Raw genomic sequence first — 20,534 nt, forward strand, 5'->3', positions numbered from 1 at the left:
AAGCTCAGCTCCCCCTTGCCACTACTGTCCTTCACACATACATTTTCAAAACCAAACCCTCATCAATCTGCCATGTTGTTGGGTGATGCTAACTTTGCATGGTATCTTACTAATGTCTCTGACAGCCAATATTTCATGCCTGAAGAGAATAAACATAGCCTTTACCCAGGACTGGTTAACACAATCACCACAAACTTTTTCCAGCCTTGCTTTCCTCTTTCTCCTGAGGCACTCATTCTGTAAACCAAATGCGATTTCTCTGCTGTTCTGAAGCTCATGTCAAACTCCTCATTTCCAGGGACTCGAATTACTGTAAATATGTCCCTTTGGTTACTCTCAACTGAATTAATAGAGTCCCAGTAGCAATTACATGCCCTGGGGCTGGTTTTTGTGATGGAAGCAGAACCTCATAACTTATCTTTCATTGAAGAAAGCCTTCCACTTTCCCAGCAGAAATGCCAAGGTTATTTTCTTTCTTTCTATCATACTTTTCTCCTTACACCTTCGGCTAAGGAAAAATGGATGATGCAATAGTATTTTTTGGCCTTCTCCCTCCTTAGTTCATTCATTCTGCCCAGTTTCTTCATTTTCTCTGGAGACCTCTACTTGAGTGTACTCCTTGGCAGTTAATTTTCACCAATCTCTCCACTAGAGCAAGGCGGAAGAATGCAGCAGGCTCCCAGGGCCTGTGTTCATCTCTCTGGGAGCGCTGTTTTTCCCACCAGTCCCTGCATTGGTCACAGGTACACCTCTCCTGGAATTTGCCTGGAGATTTGCCTGCCACAGTTGCATTTCTTGAAACTCTTCTTTTTCTCCTCTCCCCTCCAACCCACCAATCACATCCATGGTCACATTGCTTTCTACACCAGAGATAGTAATTATCTCATTAGTTGATCCTCTCTGCTCCAATATCACCTAAGTAGCTAGTAGCTTGCCATTCTTTTTTTTTTTTTTTTTTTTCCCCCCTTGAGGTCTGTCACTCAGACCCTGGAGGAAGGCAGGAAGGCTCTGATCACGTGGCCCATCCCCTTCTCCTCCAGGCCAAAGTGAACTGAACCATACTATTGAGATTTTCCTCAGGAATCTATCATTGAATATAAGGCCAGGTTTTGAGTATCCACATTGAGTCATGTCCATACAGAAAGAGAGAGAACTGGTCAACAGAGAAAAGGAAAGAGAGGGGAGGAAAAAGAAAAGGAGGTAAGGAAAGAAAAGTGAGTAGTTGAACAGAGAAAGGCAGAGAACAGGGATCCTTTGTCTGTGAAGTAGAGAGAGTAGGCAAAATTCTTGATTTTCAATTTCCTGTGCCCACTTCCTTGTGAGCTCGTACTCTTTTATTTACCCAGTAAAGTCACTATATTTGCTGATGCTGGTTTTGATGGATTTGATTTCTTGTATCCAAATGCCTCCTTATCAAGATACACCCGTTAATGTAAAAACAACGAGTCTATTATAAATAATAATGATGATAACCATAATAATTATAGCTACCATTTATTTTGCACTTACTATTTGCTAGGCACAGTCCTAAACACTTTACATACAAGAACACATTCTCACAGCTATATTGTCATATAAGGATTATTTGATAGAAACATTAACGCAAGACAAGTTTGGCAATGTATCTTAGTTATACAGCTTGTAAGTGGCCCTAGCTGACCTTTGAACCCAGTTCTGTCTCTTCTCCAAGCCTGTGGGTTTAACCATGTGCCATGAACTAATCCATAAAAAGCACTCTAAACAGTGCCTGGCACATGTATGTCACAATTCAAGTTTCCTAAACCCTTCAGGCATGTTAGTCCTGGACAGAAGCAGCTATAGCATTTTTAAATTGGCATACAAAGCAATGTCAGACAGGATCACATAAAACCTTGCTACTCAGAATGTAGTGGCTGGATGAGGAGCTTGGATGTCAAAGGGAACTTGTTAGAAATGCAAACGCTTTGGCCCCATCTCATACTTAAAACTGTGTTTTAGGAAAATCCCCTGGGTGATCTGAATGCACATTCAAGTGCGTTCACTTGAGTGAGACTCAAAGTAGATGTTTCCAGTGAGGAAATTAGTATTTTACTTAGGTAGTTATTATCACTATGAGGATCTGTAAGATAAATATTTAGCTGCGGTATCAGCTGTCTAGAACTAAGGCTGAAAAATGAAGAAAAACAAAACTAATTTGAGATACTGAGGTTCTGCTAAACTCTATCATCGAAAACATAAGTATATCCAGAAGTAACTGATTATTGTTTGCCTGAAGCATTACCTAGTCTCTATGTTGGTTCTTTTCTAACTACAAATAACTGTTTATATATTGATTTTATTTTATAAACAATGTATGGGACTATTTCTTCTTACTAGGTTGACTCATTTGGTGCTGTCTTTGGCTACCCAGATATCTTTCCATAAGAATGTCTAAATTTTGGCTTGTTATAAGAAGACTGTCTGGAATTAACTTATTTTGCCAGCTTTTCCAAAAGAATTTCAACTAAAAGTAGCACCAGAATAATTTATAAAGACGGATACAATTAATGCTCATCTTTTTAAAGTTAGTTTATATTTTCAGTGCTACTGGTGAAAATTTGTCACCAACTCTTTGGACAAACAAATTCCAAAATCTGAAAGGTGACACCAACTGCAATTAACTTTAATCTTGAAAAGTGTGAAACATTCAGGACATAATTGAGATCAACATCCCAGGAGTAAACTGATGGAAGATGTGACTTACATAAGAAACACAGGGGTATTTCTTTATTCTTACACATGATTTTCATTTGCTTACTTGGAATTAAGCTTATGTATTCAAAATACAGATGTACCAAACATCAGTAATTGACATATGATAGATGTAATAATGACAAATAACTCTCAAATAATGTCATATTTTTATTCTTGGTGGTATCATAGGAACTCCGTATGGTTTCATAATTATGGTATAAGACCAAAGATTTAAGCAACTGGCTCTAAAGATACTTGTGTACCCCCAGGCTTTATAAATATTTATTTCTCTGTTTTCTTAAAATGCTAAGTATATAAGGAAATTGTAGAACAGCTGGCATGTAATACAGGATTTCTAGTCTGTTATCAGTAAATGTTCTAAGACACACCTTTAATAAAACAGAGATGTCAAAGACAAAGACAGCAAAGGAAATTTTTATCAGAAAAGGATGATTAAAGAAAGTTCTACAAGACAGGATGGACTAAAGTTTTTTACTCTGTATTTTAACAAAAATGCTTTTTGAAAGTATTGTAAAGTGCTCAGGACTAGGGACTAGGGCTTCATGTAGATGAGATAAAAGAAGTAAATATTTTAAAAAGAAGTATAAGAAAGGAGTTCCCTTGAATACTTATTCTTAACTTTGGAAGCAAGAAACTTTCTAAGGATGGAAGAAGGTTTAGGTGGCCTGGGATCTGACAGGTACTTGTAAGTGAAAAGGCACATATAGAGAACTTAGCTCAATGACATATGATTCAATAGGGACATTGGCCACATGACTGCATAGCTTGCATCATCTCACCACCTTCCAGGCACCTCCCAACACACCCAGATTTAAACCTAAATAATAGAAAAGCTATGCTCAGTGATATTTCCAAAACCTTCTTCCTATGCCTGTGCAAGTATCTTGCTTTCTCTTCCTCTGTCCCCCAAATACTGTTCAGGCACTATTTCTCCTCCTGTACTTCCCTCTTCCTCCTCCCTCTCCCACTTCTTCCTCTTCTTCTTCATTTCACTGTCTGCTTTTTATTATTATTATTATTATTATTATTATTATTATTTCCTCTCCCCTCTCCCCGCTGGCCTCCTGTTTCTTGCTCTCTTGCTCTCTTCTCCCTTTTTCCTCACTCAACTTCAGATCAATCCTGCTGGGTATATTCTGTGTCCTATACCCCTGCTGTGATTCTTAATGAAATAAATTTCAGGAAGCCTACTGATTGGATCCATGACAAGTGTATAATTTATAGGAGCAGCTGGGCCCTCCTTGGCACAGGACAATCCTAATTTTTTCTCTGTATACTCTCTTTCCAATTCTGCTCCATCTTAGCCTTCTCCTTCTCCTACTTCATTGGTGGACATCAGCTGGGAATTCCTTACACTTCTCCTATTTCTTTCTCTTATTTTCTTCTTGGGGAAGGAAAGGGTCTCCTCCCTTTCCTAAAGTGAATCTCAGAAGTTCAATTTAGAAGGATATCCTAATGATATCCTTCTAAAGGATATGAGATGAACCTTTATCTCATAAATCAGGGTCTCATCGTCTCTCCTCCGTAAATCCTAACAGCTGTCTTACCTATCAGCTCCCAACTTCCTTCATATTGCTACCAGAATTAGGTTTAGCATTTGTGGTATGATATTTATTTAGTCAAATCTGATGGTTTTTTGGTCTCTACTCAGATGGGAGATTTCATATTTTATGTTTATGAGAAGTTTCTTTTTCCCTTTTCTGCCTGTGGCCCTCAATTGGAATTTTTCCAATGATTTTCCCATTCTTAATGATTGTTGGATTTTCTGTGGCTTAAAGAAAAAGAAAATAGAGATTTTCTAAATATGGTGATAAAAATCTTTGTAAACATAATAAGGGCAACCTTTTTGTTTATGAGTCTAAAACTCAACAGATCTGATGTCCCAGTGATTTTCTCTCTCAGATTATAGGTAAATCGCTGGCTGTTTTTAAGAAGCCTATGTAGAGAAGTGGAATATTTAGAAGCTTCTGAAATACTCTTTGACTATCAATAACTTCAATATCTGGCTTAGAATTTTCTCTCCTGAGGGAAGGCTTCTGGGAGTAACGCTTTCTAAACGCAATCTGTGCTGGCCACTAAAAGTTAACGTTTCTCTCAGTGCCCCGTATTTGCTTTTTTTCATCATGGGATAGTGGCTGAATGCATAGACTTCAGTGACAAACAGCCTACATTTAAATCCCAGTATCTACTGTGTGACTATGGGTGAATTACTTAACCTCCCTGTACCTTAGTTTCATCACTTATAAAATGGGAATACAATGGCCAAATATCATCATGCATATTTTAAGGGTGAAAAGAGATAATCCTTTTTACATGTACACAGTACTTGAGTGTACAGCAAAGGCCTATTTTTATTGCTATTGTTATATTTACTATTATGGTTAGCTATATATATTATTTGCATTTCCAACTAAATTGTAAATCTCTTGAAGTCAGGTTCTTACACTGCTACTTAAATATAAGGGCATAAGAAGGGCAACCTTTTTGTTTATGAGTCCAAGACTGCCATTAAAAGTAATGGCAGGCCGGGCGCGGTGGCTCATGCATGCCTGTAATCCCAGGACTTTGGGAGGCTGAGGCGGGCGGATCATGAGGTCAGGAGATCAAGACCATCCTGGCTAACTAACACTGTGAAAACCCCGTCTCTACTGAAAATACAAAAAAATTAGTCGGGCATGATGGCGGGCGCCTGTAGTCCCACGCCAGGCAGGAGAATGGCATGAACTCGGGATGTGGAGCTTGCAGTGAGCCGAGATTGCGCCACTGCACTCCAGCCTGGGCGACAGAGTGAGACCCCGTCTCAAAAAAAAAAAAAAAAAAATTAACATGGAATGCTTAGGGATGTCACTTAAATATGTAAGAATTTTTTATCATGTCTTTAAGCCATCTATAATTGATGTTCAAATGTGAATAATGATTCTTAGATTTTTTCTTCATTAATAATAGTTGAATGTTTTACAAATAGAAAGTTATAGTAATTACTGAATATATGTAACTTATTCCCACAAGGCAAAATTTTGATTTAAAGCATAACTGAAACATAACTGTGTAGTTAAATATGTTGAATGCAAAAGCAATGCTTACAAAGTTTGTTTATTTATTTATTTATTTATTTATTTATTTTGAGACGGAGTCTCACTCTGTCGCCCAGGCTGGAGTGCAGTGGCTCGATCTCAGCTCACTGCAAGCTCCGCCTTCTGTGTTCACACCATTCTTCTGCCTCAGCCTCCCGAGTAGCTGGGACTACAGGTGCCCGCCACCACACCCGGCTAATTTTTTGTATTTTTAGTACAGAGGGGGTTTCACCGTGTTAGCCAGGATGGTCTCCATCTCCTGACCTCGTGATCTGCCCACCTCGGCCTCCTAAAGTGTTGGGATTACAGGCGTGAGCCACAGCGCCCAGCCCAAAATTTATTTTTTAACATCATTTTTTAAAAAGTCTGTGGTGCACTTAAAACAACTATCCCCCAATTCCTAGTAAGGTGTCAGTTTTCTGCAAGTACTTAATGGTATCTGGACTAAGTGTACATTTCAAAACACTCACATTATGAGTTAATGCATTTGCAACAAACTTCTGAGTGAAGTCAGATATTGCCTAGGTTGCAAATAAAAAATGCAAAGGAGTGAGGACTTAAGACCTATTGAGTACCCCTGGAACCCTTAATGGTTTTCTTTGCTTCCTTTTCTCTCTTAATAGACAATCATCCCACCTAGGACCATACTAATCAAACAATACACAAATGTTTCATGTTAAGGCTCAGAATCATAGACTCATATAATCAGGAGATTGGAAGGAAACACAAAAAGTAAGACTTTTCAAGACAACCTCATTCACACTGTTTACTTGAATTATTTACTCTTGTTTTATTATTAATTTTTATGCTGTTCAATTGACTACAATTCAAAACCCAGTGTATTCATACCATGTGCTAAGATATGCTCCTTCCTATATGTGTTCCTCTAAAGAACCATCTGGATCTTGTGGGGGATATTTTCCTTTGTGGTATCAAAGCCAGGAGCTCGTGGTTTTCCTTTATTTTTTAAGGGAACACTATCATGTAGCATCTGGGACCAGAAAGAAATCTTGATGTTATATATTTTACAGATATTTTCTTTTTGGATTTTTTTTCCTCTAAGAGAAAAGCTTTTGTTAATGTGTCATGTAAAAATACATTAACTAGTAACTTGTCAAGAAGTGCTAGATTCCATTCTTGTGCGGGTCCATTTATATATGTTCCTGAACAGCTAATATTTCATTTAGTTTCCAATTAAACTTGCTCAAATACATTTTTGAAGTGCATTGCTTAAAATTTACATTCAAGGCAAGAAAACGAGTTTGTCAGTAAATGTAGTAATTAAGGAAGTCCCAAGTCTGTATTTTTAAGATACTAGAGGTAATTGTAACTAATCACTTTAACTTAAAGAAATAGAATTGGAAATACCCCCCTCCCCCCGCCACCCCCTACCAAAACCATACCTTAGTCACTTTGGAATTATAACCGTCTTTTACGTCTATCAATATAAATGTATTGCATTTGGCATTCAAATTACTTTCAAAGGGATAAATTTCGAATTTTTTTTTTTCATTGTAGCTTCTGATCTTTAAATGTACTGAACAGGAGGATTTGGGGAGCTTGTCTTGTCTGATAGGTGTTAAGTATCTATGACGACAAATTTGAGCTGAAGCAATGTGCAATATGGACTAGTAATATCTTCACAAGACTATTTTGGAAATTCTCACGTTGATGTTATTAATGACGTGGGTTTATTAGCATTTGGGTAATTAAGAAAAAACAGTACTAGAATTTAAAAAAAAGAAAAAAAAAGGTAAGAAGGGCGAAACAGAGTTCTCCACTCCTCTCCCAACCCTCATTCCTTTGGAGGCTCGCGCCCTCTTGGAATAGCAGGTTCCTGCATGTGCCAGAAATCCGGTCCCGGCAAAGCTAGACGCTCTGCAATGACAGGCGTTCCCAGCTAGGGACTCCTGGCTGCTTGGAGCTTGAAAACACCTGGCGTGGTTCTCGAGGGCCCTAGAGGCTCCTGCTACGGACTGGTCGGCTCTGGGGTTGTAGGCAGAAGGCTCTAAGCGGTCGGAAGGGTTTCCTGTGTGTCAGCAACTTCACTTTGCCGAGATAGCTGGCGGAAGAGGGAAGGAGCGCTCGCGGGCCAATCGCCTGCCAGCAGCCACCTTGGAGCGCACCCCTCTCCCTCGCCGCCGACTCCGGTAGCAGCGTGCCGGCAGAGGCTGAACACACTCGGCCTCGGCGGAGACCTGCTCCCCAGAAGACGCCTCCTGCTTCCCACTGCGCCCTGGAGGACGCGGGCTGGCTGCTGGGCGAGCTCGGCGGAGGCACGCCCCTCGCCTCCCCGCGGAGTGCGGACTCGCCCCGGTGCCCAAACTCCGCCCACCCTCTAGGGAGCTCCGCTCTCCCGCCTAACCCCGGCACTCCGGACAGAGCTGGGCCTGGGGAAGGGGTTCCTGAACTACGCGGACGCCGAACGGGACGCGCTGCAGAAGCGCACGAGTCTGCGGCCACGCGCGCTCCGATGGCTGCCAGGAGCTGAGCTCAGGGTGGGCGGAGGAAGCGGTTAGACGCCCCGAAACTGAGCTGCACGTTTCTAAGGTAGGGAGGAGGAAGATGCCCCCAATTAAGTTGATCTTTGAGCCAAGGAGGCTGGGGAGCAGCCTCCCCAAGCTAGAGCCCTGCAGAGCGAGTTTCCCTTGACCTCGCTGCGCCTCTGGCGCGCTCTGCAGCGCGGACCCGCGGCCCCTCGGGAAAGCGCAGTCGGAAAGTTATCCGCGGCGGTTCCCTGCGCGCCCTGTTGTGTAAGCTCGGCGTTGCCAGCGGACGGAGAAGTTGCTGGCTTGCCCGATAGCCCAGTTCGGTGGCGGCCCGGGGCGGATTTCATGGCCCGCGGCGAACGCGGGGCCAGAGCTGGCGTGGGCGAGCCCCTGCGCGCCCCCTCCCGCGGGGATCCAGTTCGCCTGCTCCCTTCCGCTCGCTGGCTTTTCCGATGCTTGCTGCGCCCCTGGCCGCCGCTGCCCTCTCGCCGCCTCCTACCCCTCGGAGCCGCCGCCTAAGTCGAGGAGGAGAGAATGACCGAGGTGCTGTGGCCGGCTGTCCCCAACGGGACGGACGCTGCCTTCCTGGCCGGTCCGGGTTCGTCCTGGGGGAACAGCACGGTCGCCTCCACTGCCGCCGTCTCCTCGTCGTTCAAATGCGCCTTGACCAAGACGGGCTTCCAGTTTTACTACCTGCCGGCTGTCTACATCTTGGTATTCATCATCGGCTTCCTGGGCAACAGCGTGGCCATCTGGATGTTCGTCTTCCACATGAAGCCCTGGAGCGGCATCTCCGTGTACATGTTCAATTTGGCTCTGGCCGACTTCTTGTACGTGCTGACTCTGCCAGCCCTGATCTTCTACTACTTCAATAAAACAGACTGGATCTTCGGGGATGCCATGTGTAAACTGCAGAGGTTCATCTTTCATGTGAACCTCTATGGCAGCATCTTGTTTCTGACATGCATCAGTGCCCACCGGTACAGCGGTGTGGTGTACCCCCTCAAGTCCCTGGGCCGGCTCAAAAAGAAGAATGCGATCTGTATCAGCGTGCTGGTGTGGCTCATTGTGGTGGTGGCGATCTCCCCCATCCTCTTCTACTCAGGTACCGGGGTCCGCAAAAACAAAACCATCACCTGTTACGACACCACCTCAGACGAGTACCTGCGAAGTTATTTCATCTACAGCATGTGCACGACCGTGGCCATGTTCTGTGTCCCCTTGGTGCTGATTCTGGGCTGTTACGGATTAATTGTGAGAGCTTTGATTTACAAAGATCTGGACAACTCTCCTCTGAGGAGAAAATCGATTTACCTGGTAATCATTGTACTGACTGTTTTTGCTGTGTCTTACATCCCTTTCCATGTGATGAAAACGATGAACTTGAGGGCCCGGCTTGATTTTCAGACCCCAGCAATGTGTGCTTTCAATGACAGGGTTTATGCCACGTATCAGGTGACAAGAGGTCTAGCAAGTCTCAACAGTTGTGTGGACCCCATTCTCTATTTCTTGGCGGGAGATACTTTCAGAAGGAGACTCTCCCGAGCCACAAGGAAAGCTTCTAGAAGAAGTGAGGCAAATTTGCAATCCAAGAGTGAAGACATGACCCTCAATATTTTACCTGAGTTCAAGCAGAATGGAGATACAAGCCTGTGAAGGCACAAGAATCTCCAAACACCTCTCTGTTGTAATATGGTAGGATGCTTAACAGAATCAAGTACTTTTCCCCTCTTTAACTTTCTAGTTTAGAAAAAAATCAAACCAAGAAAATAGTGAGTTAAAAAAATAATAGAAGTAGAAATGCCCACATCCACACTTAGCTTGTTTGGGTTTGCTTTCACAGTCTCTCTTCCTTCTGACTAGAAGTATGTATAATAAAACAATACTACCTAGTTAAACATTTACTTTCTCTTTTGCCTTTAAAATGTGCAGGCTTTTCTGTTTAAAGTGTGTGTGCACATGAGTACTGGGGCTGTTTTTGATATTAGTAATTTCTCTAAGAAAACTAGCCCCCTGCAACTTGAGTTTGTGGTTTATCTAGCCTTTATTGTTTTTTTAAAATCCACAGTAGGAATAAAAAATCTATATTCTCAGAAATATCTAGCATGGTATATAACAAAACACTAAACTCATCAGTTCATCCGGCATCAGATCAATGGATCTCTGAGCGGGGTGTTTTTTTCAGTGTCTTATAAGCATAGATGATAGTTGACTGAGTTTCTTTAGGGCATTGAATAGACAAGTAAAGCTAATGAATTTAAAAGCCTGAAAAGTGATTGTTTTCCAGTTATTTCTGGAAAAGGTCTCATTATATATTGGGTGCTAAATGTTTGATGGGGAAAGCCTGCATATATTATCGTACTGGTAAAATGCATTCAAAATAATTAAAGTGCATGTATTTTCCTTGTAAACACCATGAGCTCTCTTAGACATCTTGTGATAAAGAGCATTTACTTGCCCCACTGCTGTGCAATGCCTTAGGACTTTGTTTGTGTTCCAGGACAAGTGTTCACTCACATCTGTAAAAACAATTTTAAGAATTGCAAATAAATTACAGACCAAAGATTGAGTAAAGTCAAATAACTGTTAGTAAGTTGAAGGATATTGGACAGGAGGACAGTATTTCAGAAAAGGAGAGGTTGACAGTCATCCACAAGGCATAGCCTCCAAGTATACTCTCAAATGTATGAAGCAACTGGGGTGGGCAGAAGACATTTTAGAATGAGGGCTTTAGTTTAAATTAAAGTCATGGTGGAGAAGACTCTTGCTTCCTCCAAGTGTTTGAAAACACAAAATGCGATATGAAAAGAAGAAATAGAATTTGTATAGGTTGCATTGATAGAATGGGAAGCTATAATCTTTGAATAAACCTTACATCTCAATATTTAAAGAAAAAACATATATATGGAGGGAAATATAGAGAATTAAAGTACCTAGATGCCATAGCACTGAAAAGTAAAGTACTACTCAAACTACTAATAGAAGACTATTGGTCAGTGTTTTCTATTATATTTGTTCTCTGCCAGGTGTTAATGAAAAATTTGTAAAATGCTTCAACAGTGTTAATAATTTTAATGAATATTGAATTGCTGCATGTCTAGTCCTTGAAATGGTCAAATTCTATATAATGAGAATAACAAGGTGAGATAATGCAATTGACAATCCCAAACAAATCCAGTGTCAAAGGAATTTTTAGTTTTGGAAGCTATCCCTCATAAAGTCAACATCAGAGTTTGCAACTGATGGTGGCATAACTTGTTTGAAAGCACTTTACAAGTAGAGCAACATGGGGCTGTATGTTAAGGCAAGAAAGAACCTTAGTGCCCCGTGGACCATAATGACAGGAAATTTTCAGGTCTTGATTTCAGTTCTTGCAATGCCTATGTAGATTGAGGATTTGTGAGACCTTCAGAGTAGCTTCACTTTACCCAATCTCTGGCCACTAAGATCAATGAAGAAAAGCTGTATTTAACCTTCCAAAGCAGTGATTCTTTTTACATGTTCAGTTTTAATGCATAGGATTATAGAAACCAAATCAAGAAGAAACCTACTACACCTCCTTATTTTGAGGAAAGAGAGGGTTAGCAAAGTTCTCACTTCATCAGGCTCAAATAACATCCGTTTTAGATTCCTACAAGACAAAATCTAAAATATGTCATTACTTTATTGACCTTGTTAAACAAGATCAATATCATTAAACTGACCAAGATGGAAATTACAGGACTTGTACCAGACTTGAACTTGTAGCCTAATGATACACATTTTTACAATATTTCTTCACCATTTAGTTTTCTTTCTTTTAGGTCTCAGGATGCTCAGCTTAATTTAGAGTATGTGTTAAGTACATTGTTTCAGCGTCCAGAGAATTTTGTGAGTGTGGATCCAGTGAGGAGGTGAACAGTAACTAGAAATGCTTGTTTACTACTTGGCATGTTTTTTCCAAAGTGTTTCTTCTTTAGCTTCATACATCACATATGGACACTGATGACATGTGAATGCATGCCACATAGTAACAAGAATGATCTTGCCAACTCCTTCCAAGCCAAAAGAAGCCTCTGGGAAGGTGTGCCAATGGTGAAAACGTACAGAGGGTCAGGGTGAAGCAGTGATCTCTATTGGCTGAAAAACTGATCAGGTCATATGATGATTGAAGTATGTTTATTGTAAGGGCAGAAATGTGTTGGCATTTGGATAAAAAACTGCTAACATTATAGAACTTATTACCTAACAAAATTTCACACCACAAAAAATATTTTAATGGCAAATTCAAGGTGTTTTATTGCTTACAAATCAGCATCTTTGACTCTTTGAACATCAATTTGTGTTTACATTGAAATGACAAAAAGACAAACTAAGAAGAAATACAGCATGCAAGTTGGAATTCAGAGTTAAAACCATGATGTTGCCGCTCAGCCAGCTATGTGACTGTTGACCCTTTCAAGAACACACATGGATTTAAAAGTTGGATGACATCCATTGTTGGGGCCTTGGGGGATATGGTAAAGCATGAAAACTAAACAGCCAGGAGCCTGTGAAATCTGCTACTGTATTTTCCAGGACTTCATTCCACTCCTTGGCTAAAAAAATCTTGGAAGTTTCACAGATTATGATGTGGACCTGTCACCTGTAAATTGTCTCAATCTACTCAGACAAGACACTAAACTGTCTTTGGATACTATAGATGTCAGTGCTTATAGCAGCTGGAATTTGGCTAGTGACAATGTTTAAAGATGTAATACTAGTTAGTATCTATTGAAGCTTAAACTTTGCTGGTCAGGTTGTAGCTATTGTAAAAGTATTTATTGAAGAAGCTCACAGTCCTTCAGTTGTACAGACTGAAAAACTTTCATGAAAGATCCAACATACTAATGTAAATTATATTTATTACAATGTATGATATTAATGTGTCAAACTGGTGTATTTTACAAAATATATAATGCATACATAAATAAGAGTTGTATATTACAGTGCTTTTCAAATATCAGTGTCTTGGAATATTTAAGTCTTCACATTTTTTGGTCTAAAATATGAAAATGTTTCATGATACAAGTGATTAATTTTCCCTAGTAGTGCTTTTGCATGTTTGCCTTTTTATTTAAGTTTTTTTCTATATAGACACAATTTGGTGTCAGACTATCATAAGATCGATAGTGAATATAAAATATCTTAGCCAAATGGGGTCTGTATTGTCTACATTTTATATATTAAATAAAAGTTTTTGTTGTCTTTTCAGGAGGTTTAGAGTATTGTCACTAAATATGATCAAAGCTTCCCTTTCCAAATGCAAAAGTCTTGTCCTACATTTAAAGTTGATCTGTCATGTTTTAGCAGTCAAGTGGGATGGGCATTATATAAACAACGTTACAATGTAAGGAAAATCTTTAAGGAGATGGGGAGAGAAAAAGGCAGCTGGTATAATCGGTTACTGCTGCTTAGTTCTACTTAATTTTTTGTGTTGCTTCTTCTTAAGGTGAGATAGCATAATCTTAACTGTTTTGAGATGGAATTTTAAAGTAACACACTACCAGCGAGTTCAACACTGCTATTGATTTTAATCTGTTTTTTTTTGTTTAGTTGATAACTTAAATTCCAAGTTTCATAGTGATAATTGTATATTATTTGGCTGCTGAATTCTGTTAGAGTTTTTTATTCTGTTGTACATTGTATTATACACATAATCACAAATTAATATGAAGGTGAATATATGTTACATATCAAAATTTGTGAATTTGAATTATAGTATGTTTTAGTGCTATTGCAAAAAATGTTTATTTTTATATTATCTGTGATTTTAATATAGATGATTGAACTAGATTTCTTTTTGAGTGATAGTGCCATTGAATGAGCAGTATGGAAACAGTGTTACTTGATATTTTGAGCTTTCTCAGGTTTATCTAAATCAGTGGTAGCTTAACAAAACCCAGACTAATTGTGTGTAATTGTATTTTTAATAAAAGGAAAGTACATTTCCTATAATAGCATAGTACTGTTTGCATGTAAGAGTATGCAAAACCTTGTGTGTGTGTGTGTGTGTGTGTGTGTGTGTGTGTCTTAGTGTGTGTAAGGCATGGCAGCCAACTTTGTATCTGCTATTTTTAGTACGAGCAGAGCTTCATAATTGTGGTCACTAGAACTGTACTTACCATGGACAGTTAAAACTGAAAAAGACTCAATAAAACTATGAAACATGGTTTGATGGCTTCTATGTTATTACAGTGTTAATACTCACAAGTTTTGCCAAACTTTAACAAATAATGTACAGACTGAGAAGTACTGTAAAACACATTGAACTAATTCAGTTGTTTTTTAAGGTGAAGACTGGGCTCTAAAAACTACGGTGTTAAAGGTAGAATCCTGGTGCAAGATAGGTAAAATTATCAATATTTGATATTCAATTGCCAATAGGAATGTGAGCTAATTTTTTATTGTAAAATACTTCATGCTACCTTAATGTGTGCTTCTCATACTGGTGTTCTGTGTTTAAAATGTTGGCTGTAATTTTTTCTCATCTAATTTTTAATCAGGGTAACCACGCTAATAATTCTTTGTGGATTCTATTTATTAGCATACATCACCTGCTTTTTCCAGGTTTGTTAAAAAATGTATTGTGCCACAGTGAAAATGGTGTACAATGAAATGGGAGCATGCTTAAAGCATTACCTTTTTTTTTACCTCAGTTGAGAAGGTAAGTGCACAATGGTCCTGTGTTTGGGTTTTCTGGTTGTGTGCTGAGATAGGTGCTCTATAAGGGAAACCTGTGGGTAGAAAATACAGATTTCTTGCAGCCTTTAAGACGTGTGTCAGTCAGTATTAACTCCTTAATTAGATGTACTATGCAGACTTTGCCTTTTGGGAATCCTCATTTATTAACATCAGCTTGAGTAGAGTTTTCTGTGGGCATATATGTATGTATGTGTGTGTGTATGTGTCTTAGTACATACATAGAAATTATATAGGAGATAATTATCTTTCTGACTTAATAATTTACCCTAAAGCTTTGAGCACCTTTTGATTTTTGAAATCACTGAGGGATTAAAGTCAGAGACCCTTTTCTCTCTACAAGTTAATATCCATTTTGATTCCCTCTCCTATTTTAATGATCTGAAAAGTTTATTTTCTTTCTTCAGGAGATTTTAGAATTTTTCCCCAAAATATGGTCAGATCAAATACAAAAAGCTTGTCCTAAATTCAAAGTAGATCTATTATGGCTTAGAAGTCTGATAGGATGGGGCATTACAGACAAAGCAGATGTCACTAGAAATCCATGTTAATGTTAACACTGTGCATACTTGGTTAATCCTGCAAGGTTATATTGCCTTGGGCTGGACCCTGGGGACTGACATCCCCAGTCAGCATGGCTGCTGGGACTGACAGTTCTAACAGCAGCTGTGGATGGAGTCAGGCCCCTGGGCTGAGCAGCTGACAGAACTGCAACTCTTTGGGAATGGAAGTGGGTAGGGGACAGGGGATGGGAGGCAAGTGGAGGCTGTTGGTACTTCAAAGAGGGGGAAAAATGCACTGTCTTTCCTGATTACCTGATAGGGAGAAATCACAACTGTGCAAAGTTGGAAAATTCATGAAGAAGACAGACTAAAAAAGATAGAGACCTTGGAAATGATCCACATCCATCACCTTGGTTTATAGGTGAGACTAAAATATTCACATTCAAAAGTGGAGCTAGTAAAGAATGTGGCGTTCTCATTTCTAAAACATTCCTCTCGTATCCCAAGACCTTTCAAACTGTAGGTCTTGACTCATGAAAGTGTCATGGAATAAATATGATGGGTTATGATTGACACTAACGAAATAGAATAGATCAGAGGCCATAACTCAGTAAGTAATTGTGGTTTTAATTTCAGACACACATACTAACACAACACAATGCATATACATACATTTACCTGTATTCGTGGCATGGGTCGCAGTGGACATTTCATTTTCTATTGTTGACATCATCAGAAAAGTTTGAAAATTCACTGCTACTCAGTAAAAAAGTGGCATAGAGTTAAAGGAATAGAGGATAAGAGGTTGTTTTTCAAAATTATTTTAACATAAATGCAGAGATAATTATGTTACTTGCACTTATTCTTTTTTCTTTTAATGTTATTTTCTTCTGAATATCCCTTTCTGAAGTCCCAAAGAAATTAAAGCATCCTTTTAGCCTACATCTAAGAATGACTATTTGTAGTTAATATAATTGAACCCCAGCTTTATGTAAACTTTGATAGCTTAACCTTCGTACTGTTTCCTCTGGTTTGAAGAGTTAACAGCAAAAGAGCAAACCTTCACTGTTTGACAGCATCAGCTTTGCAGTCAAAAAAACCTTAGCCTTGAGCCCACCTCTGCCACTTACTACTTGTGTACCCTGGGCAAGTTATTTAAACCTTGTTTGTTGTGTGTTCCTCAACCATAAAGTGGGCATTATAAGATGCAGTTCATAGGATATTGGAAGAATAGGCAAAGCATACAAAGTATGCCATTCTTGAGGCTGCTAAGGATTTTGCCACTCCATTAGCTATTTTATTGTTATTCTTATTGTTGTTCTATAATTTCTATTGTCTTCTTCCACACCATGGAGGCTTTGTGGGATTGAGAGATTGAGTGCATTTAATATTGTTCTTTTGGATACTCCATTGAATGTCTGAGGTCCGAATAACAGGCAAGTATTCAACTTTTTGATGCTTTGCACTGTGATATGCACTCTATGGGACAAAGACACAGAAGACAAAGTATGTGTAATTAAAAATATATTACAAGAAGGTCTTCTGACCTCTTCATCTGGGCCTTACCTCTCTAGTTCATGGTTTATTTTCAGTTACTGCAGTCCAGAGTCTGGTCTTCACTTTTGCAGATTCAGAAACTTGATCTTAGCTGTTCACCTACAGTTCACCAACTCCAGAGGACTGACTCATACCAAGCAAACTGACAAGAGAATCATTTACCAACTAGATTGCCAATTTATGAGTATACAATGACTATATCTCAGTCCCAATAACATCTGTTTGTTCAAGGAGGATATAATTATGGATCATAACTTACAATTAGAATAAAAAGGTGATATTCTTGAAGAGAAATTCCAGTAAGATAGAGCAGCTGAAAGAATTGCCTATCCCAGGAGATACTGGCCTTGATAATAAGCATCTACCCTATACTCTGCCTGCCCGGAACAGTTTAGCAGCACATGGATTAAAATTTCCACATTTTGTTTACTTTCTTTTAAAACTAGTCACTACCATTCTTCTTTGCATGCAAATGATGTTTTAATAATATCTCCCACCTGAGAGTATGGAAGGAGTATGGTGGTAAAGAGGGCTGCAATGTGTGCTAGGGTAGAGAGAGAGACACTTAAAAGATATCCAATTGGAAAAGTGCAGTAAGTCATTGCAAATGACATTCCAGCATTCAGGGCAGAGTTGTAGCATGAGATTAAAGTTTGAAAATCATCCACAGGCAAACAATAGCTATTAACCAAGGAAATAGAAGCAATTATGTGGGGAGTCCATGTAGACAGAGAAGAAAAAAGGGGCAGCAAGGGAGGAGGGAGCAGTGTGCTATAAGCAACACCACCAACAAGGATGCGATGGACAGACAGGATGGGATTGTCGTAGATGATCCAGGACTGAGACTGAGGAAATCAGTCTCAGAAGAGAATTTAGGAAGAGGTAATTCTGTGTCACCTGTTACAAAGAGGACAAAAAAGAGTCTGCTGGATTTATACATTAGAAAGCATTGGTGTTTTGGAGGGCATATTTAATAAAAATAGTAATTGTTACTGATCACTGAAGAAGTGTTTTAGTAGGAGGATTATAGGTTAGTCGCTAGAGGCAGAGAGATTAGAAATAGAAAAAGGGATAAAGAGGAATTGCTCAAAGCAAAAAAGCTCCACTTGAAAATTGGTGTATATGATGATGTCAAAAGGACAAAGGAGAAGGGGTAGACGAGGAAAAGGGTAGCTGTGGGTATTGAAGTTAAGTGGTGGCAAAGGCCATCAGAGTAGAGGAGAGCTGTAATTGTGAGGCTGAGACATTGTTTGGATCACGGAGTGGCAGAAAGACTGGTTTTGTAGAGGAAATTAATTTGAAGTTTGGTGAATGAGAGCACTGAGTAAGGGGGAAGCTAGCAAGAACTAGTTGGCATTAGTGTCAAAAAAAAAAAAAGATTTACATGGCAGTGGAAGACGAATGTCAAGAAACAGTGGGGAGTTGGAAGAATGTTCCTTTTCTGGTGTGCAAGAATAGCAAAATAGCAAACATGGTGTCTATTGAAAGAAGGAGTGAGGGGAATATATTTTAATTTTGACTTTTATTTTAGATACAGAGCATACATGTGCAGATTTGTTACATGGGAATATTGTGTGATGCTGAGATTTGGGGTATGGATCCCTTCACCTAGGTAGTAAGCATGGTACCCAATAGGTAGTTTTTCAACCCATGCCCCCTTCCCTTCCTCTCCTCTCTAGTAGTCTGATATGGTTTGGCTGTGTCCCCACCCAAATCTCATCTTGAATTTCCACATGTTGTGGGAGAGACCTGGTGAAAGGTAATTGAATCATGGGGGTGAGTGTTTCCTATGTTGTTCTCCTGATATTGAATAAGTCTCACAAGATCTGATGGTTTTAAAAATGGGAGTTCTCCTGTACAAGCTCTCTTGTCTGCCACCATGTGAGCTGTGGCTCTCACCTTCTGCCATGATTGTGAGGTCTCCCCAGCCACATGGTACTGTAAGTCCAATAATCCTCTTTTTTTTTTTTGTAAATTGCCCAGTCTCTGGTATGTCTTTATCAGCGGTGTGCAAACAGACTAATAGAGTAAATTTGTACCAGTAGAGTGAGATATTGCTGAAAAGATACCTGAAAATGTGGAAGCGACTTTGGAACTGGGTAACAGGCAGAGGTTGGAACAGTTTGGAGGACTCAGAAGAAGACAGGAAAATGTGAGAAAGTTTGGAACTCCCTAGAGACTTGTTGAATGGCTTTGATCAAAATGTTGATAATGATATGGACAACGAACTCCAGGTTGAGGTGGGTCTCACAGGGAGATGAGAAACTTGTTGGGAACTGGAGCAAAGGTGACTCTTGTTAAGTTTTAGCAAAGAGACTGGTGGCATTTTACCCCTGCTCTAGAGATCTGTGGAATTTTGAACTTGAGAGAGATGATTTAGGGTATCTGGCAGAAGAAATGTCTAAGCAGCAAAGCATTCAAGAGGCTATTTTGTGCTGTTAACGGCATTCAGTTTTATAAGGGAAGCAGGGCATATAAGTTTGGAGAATTTGCAACCTCACAATGCAATAGAAAAGAAAATCCCATTTTCTGAGGAGAAATGCAAGCCAGCTGTAGCAATTTGCATAAGAAACAATTAGCCAAATGTTAATCCCCAAGACAATGGGGAAAATGTCTCCAGGGCATGTCAGAGGTCTTCACAGCAGCCCCTCCCATCACAGGCTCAGAGGCCTAGGAGGAAAAAGTGGTTTCATGGGCCGGGCCCAGGGTCTCTCTGCCATGTGCAACCTAGGGACTTGTTACCCTGTGTCCCAGCCACTCCAGCCATGGCTGAAAGGGCCCAATGCAGAGCTTGGGCCATGGCTTCAGAGGGTGCAAGGCCCAAGCCTTGGCAGCTTCCATGTGGTGTTTAGCCTGCGAGTGCACAGAAGTCAACAACTGGGGTTTGGGAACCTCTGCCTAGATTTCAGAAGATGTGTGGAAACACCTGGATGTCCAGGCAGAAGGTTGCTGCAGGGGTGGGGCCCTCATGGAAAACCTCTGCTAGGGCAGTGTGGAAGGGAAATGTGGGGTCAGATCCCCCACACAGAGTGCCTACTGGGGCACCACCTAGTGGAGCTGTCAGAAGAGGGCCACTGTCCTCCAGACCCCAGAATGGTAGATCCACTGACAGCTTCCACTGTGCACCTGGAAAGGCTGCAGACACTCAACACCAGCCCACGAAAGCAGCCAGGAGGGAAGCTGTACCCTGCAAAGCCACAGGGACGGAGCTGCCCAAGACTGTGAGAATTCACCTTTTGCTTTTGCATCAGTGTGACCTGGATGTGGGACACGAAGTCAAAGGAGAGAATTTTGGAGCTTTTAGATTTAACTGCTCTGCTGGATTTCAGACTTGTATGGGGCCTGTAGCCCCTTTGTTTTGGCCAATTTCTCCCATTTGGAATGGCTGTATTTACCCAATGCCTATACCCCCATTGTATCTAGGAAGTAACTAACTTGCTTTTGATTTTACAGGCTCA

At 40.2% G+C, this 20,534-nt stretch overlaps 1 protein-coding gene across 1 annotated transcript, besides 3 other annotated features; it reads left to right on the forward strand.

Annotated features, from left to right (window-relative positions):
• Positions 8,086-8,135: a silencer, noted in NCBI's record as "silent region_14827". NCBI's record gives its function as "represses an Ori minimal core promoter by ATAC-STARR-seq in GM12878 lymphoblastoid cells {active_cell/tissue: GM12878}" and the evidence as "EXISTENCE:reporter gene assay evidence [ECO:0000049][PMID:35858748]".
• Positions 8,179-14,487, forward strand: P2RY1 (purinergic receptor P2Y1). Its single transcript, NM_002563.5, has one exon. The coding sequence runs from the start codon at positions 8,831-8,833 to the stop codon at positions 9,950-9,952; it is 1,122 nt and encodes a 373-aa protein (NP_002554.1). The 5' UTR covers positions 8,179-8,830; the 3' UTR covers positions 9,953-14,487.
• Positions 8,316-8,415: an enhancer, noted in NCBI's record as "active region_20712". NCBI's record gives its function as "activates an Ori minimal core promoter by ATAC-STARR-seq in GM12878 lymphoblastoid cells {active_cell/tissue: GM12878}" and the evidence as "EXISTENCE:reporter gene assay evidence [ECO:0000049][PMID:35858748]".
• Positions 8,848-9,142: a silencer, noted in NCBI's record as "tiled region #13992; HepG2 Repressive non-DNase unmatched - State 24:Quies, and K562 Repressive non-DNase unmatched - State 1:Tss". NCBI's record gives its function as "represses a minimal TATA promoter and a strong SV40 promoter by Sharpr-MPRA in HepG2 and K562 cells {active_cell/tissue: HepG2 | K562}" and the evidence as "EXISTENCE:reporter gene assay evidence [ECO:0000049][PMID:27701403]".

Source organism: Homo sapiens, chromosome 3, assembly GCF_000001405.40.
Source record: "Homo sapiens chromosome 3, GRCh38.p14 Primary Assembly".
NCBI lineage: Eukaryota > Metazoa > Chordata > Mammalia > Primates > Hominidae > Homo > Homo sapiens.